The sequence below is a fragment of the Homo sapiens genome, chromosome 7, assembly GCF_000001405.40.
Source record: "Homo sapiens chromosome 7, GRCh38.p14 Primary Assembly".
Taxonomy (NCBI): domain Eukaryota; kingdom Metazoa; phylum Chordata; class Mammalia; order Primates; family Hominidae; genus Homo; species Homo sapiens.
The window spans coordinates 70,933,877-70,935,964 of record NC_000007.14 but is presented as its reverse complement, the minus strand read 5'-3'; the positions used below and the strand labels follow the sequence as shown (position 1 = coordinate 70,935,964).

The window sequence follows — 2,088 nt, the reverse complement described above, 5'->3', positions numbered from 1 at the left end:
CAGAGCGTGGATACTATTTTAAGAGACGATTTGCGACCAGCTACCATGACGACAATGTCTCACCTATTTCCTTTGCTCGGAGACTCAGAGCACTAAAAATGCTGTGCAATGTAATTGATTTTTTCAGTGCGGGACCTGAGCTTTGTGGGATGTATTATGTCCCAAATGAAAAGGAACAGTGAGATAAGCCATCGCCCTTGCCTCTACTCCCAGACAAAAAGCCGGTTCTTCCTGGCTGCTGCCAACCCACAGGGGGTTTTAACAGTGGGGAATTTGTCACCCGAGGCCACCCTCAAATGCTAGCTCTTTAACACTGAATAAGGAAGAGGGGGCAGGGAGGAAAGTCAACCACCTACCTGGCCACCACCCTTTCAGGCCATAGGGTGGGACTGTCTGAGAGTGGCTGACAGGTCACCAGCCTCCGCCCCAAGTTGGGGCTCCAGGGGGCCTCCCAGGCTCACTCTTCCGAAGGTGGTCATTGCAGTTGTTCCCATTCCATCTGTGCATGCTGGGCAGTCCGCTCCGTGCACGAAGTGGGGACAGGCGTCACAGGACAACATCTGTACCCCACCTTCCAGGGATCAGGGGAAAAGAGGGTAACTCTGGTTCTTTGGAATCAAGGGACCAGGGCCCTCTTTTCACAATAAGGACGGGACAGAGAAAATTCATCTGCAGCTTCACCCCCAGCATCCCAAGTCCCTAAACACCTGTCACTCCAGCCCTTCAAACTCTGGCTCTCGTTTTCAACCTGTAGAGAAGGGGAGAGGCTAAAGAATTATCTTTCATTTCACTCCATTAATAACTAAGCAGCACGGCCTAAAATATTTATGGACACGTGCACCAAATGCATTCTGGGCAAGACAAGGTGGGTCATGGAGATTTGCAAGGCTGCTGCCTCAGCCCTTTGCTGGAGAAGCAACTAAATGGCTTCAGGGGCCAGGAAAGATGAGGGGCGACAAAGGCAGCCTCCGGGAATGTGTGACCTATCAGGGGACTAGCCAGGAAATGAAGCCTTTCTCCAGGTCTCAGAACAGCCTCCTCCTGGAGGAGGAGGTGTGGACAGTGTTTGTTGCTGACTCTGCCCTTGCACTGTATCTGCCTGTCCACTTTCCAGCACACTGATGCAGTGACTGCCATGTTTCAAGCTACAAGTCTCCTGGTCCTGAATGGGCACCTGCACTGTAACTTCCAACAATGCAGATATTAAATATTTGGGTTGTTTTGAGGGTCCTGAACTGCAACTGATTTGTGGCTAGAGGAGAACAAGCTCAAGCTCAGCTTTGCAATGGTGCTGCAGGTGACCGAAACCCCAGATGCCCCAGATGAGGGGACCACTTGGCTTCTCTGAGCCTCCCTTTCCTCACACAGAAAGCACGAAGCTTGAATTAGATTGCCACTACAGTTGTTTCCAATTCTATGGCCATAGGAGAAACTATTTTAAGCTTTACTTTAAAAGAGAGCGATAGAAAGGAAGGAAGGAAGAAAATGATGGAAATGTAATGAAAAAGTAATGGCAGAGTGTTCAATCCTGAAAATGAACGTGAATAATAATAAGAACAGTCAGACTTACGTTGTAGTCATTATGGGCCAGGCACTTTACTAAGCCCTGCAAAGGGTCTCGCTCTGTTACCCAGGCTGGAGTGCAGTGGTGCAATCACGACTCACTGCAACTTCAACCTCCTGGGCTCAAGTGATCCTCCCACCTCAGCTTCCCTGGTAGCTGGGACCACAGGCACACACCACCACATCTGGCTAATTTTGGGTATTTTTTGTAAAGATGGGGATTCTCCATGTTGCCCAGGCTATAAAGAGCTTCAATAACTTGCTGAAGTGTAGCCTCTACAGAGGAAGAGCCACAGTTCAACTCAGGTATTCAGCTCCTAACTCATACTTTTAATCACAATGTCATACTGTCTAGTTGATGACATTTCACTCAGTCACTCATCTGACAGGTGTATATAAAGTACCTGTCATATGCTGGGCATTGGCCTGGGTGATGACTTGGAAGCTTCATCAAATGCATTGATTAATTTGCACACAAAAGGCCGAACCAAGAGTAGAGGGACATATTTCCCCTAGAAGTCATCT

General features: G+C 48.7%; 1 annotated feature.

Moving 5' to 3' along the window:
* Positions 465-967: an enhancer, noted in NCBI's record as "H3K4me1 hESC enhancer chr7:70399984-70400486 (GRCh37/hg19 assembly coordinates)". NCBI's record gives its function as "activates a minimal SCP1, AML or CMV promoter by ChIP-STARR-seq in naive H9 embryonic stem cells {active_cell/tissue: H9 hESC(naive)}" and the evidence as "EXISTENCE:reporter gene assay evidence [ECO:0000049][PMID:30033119]".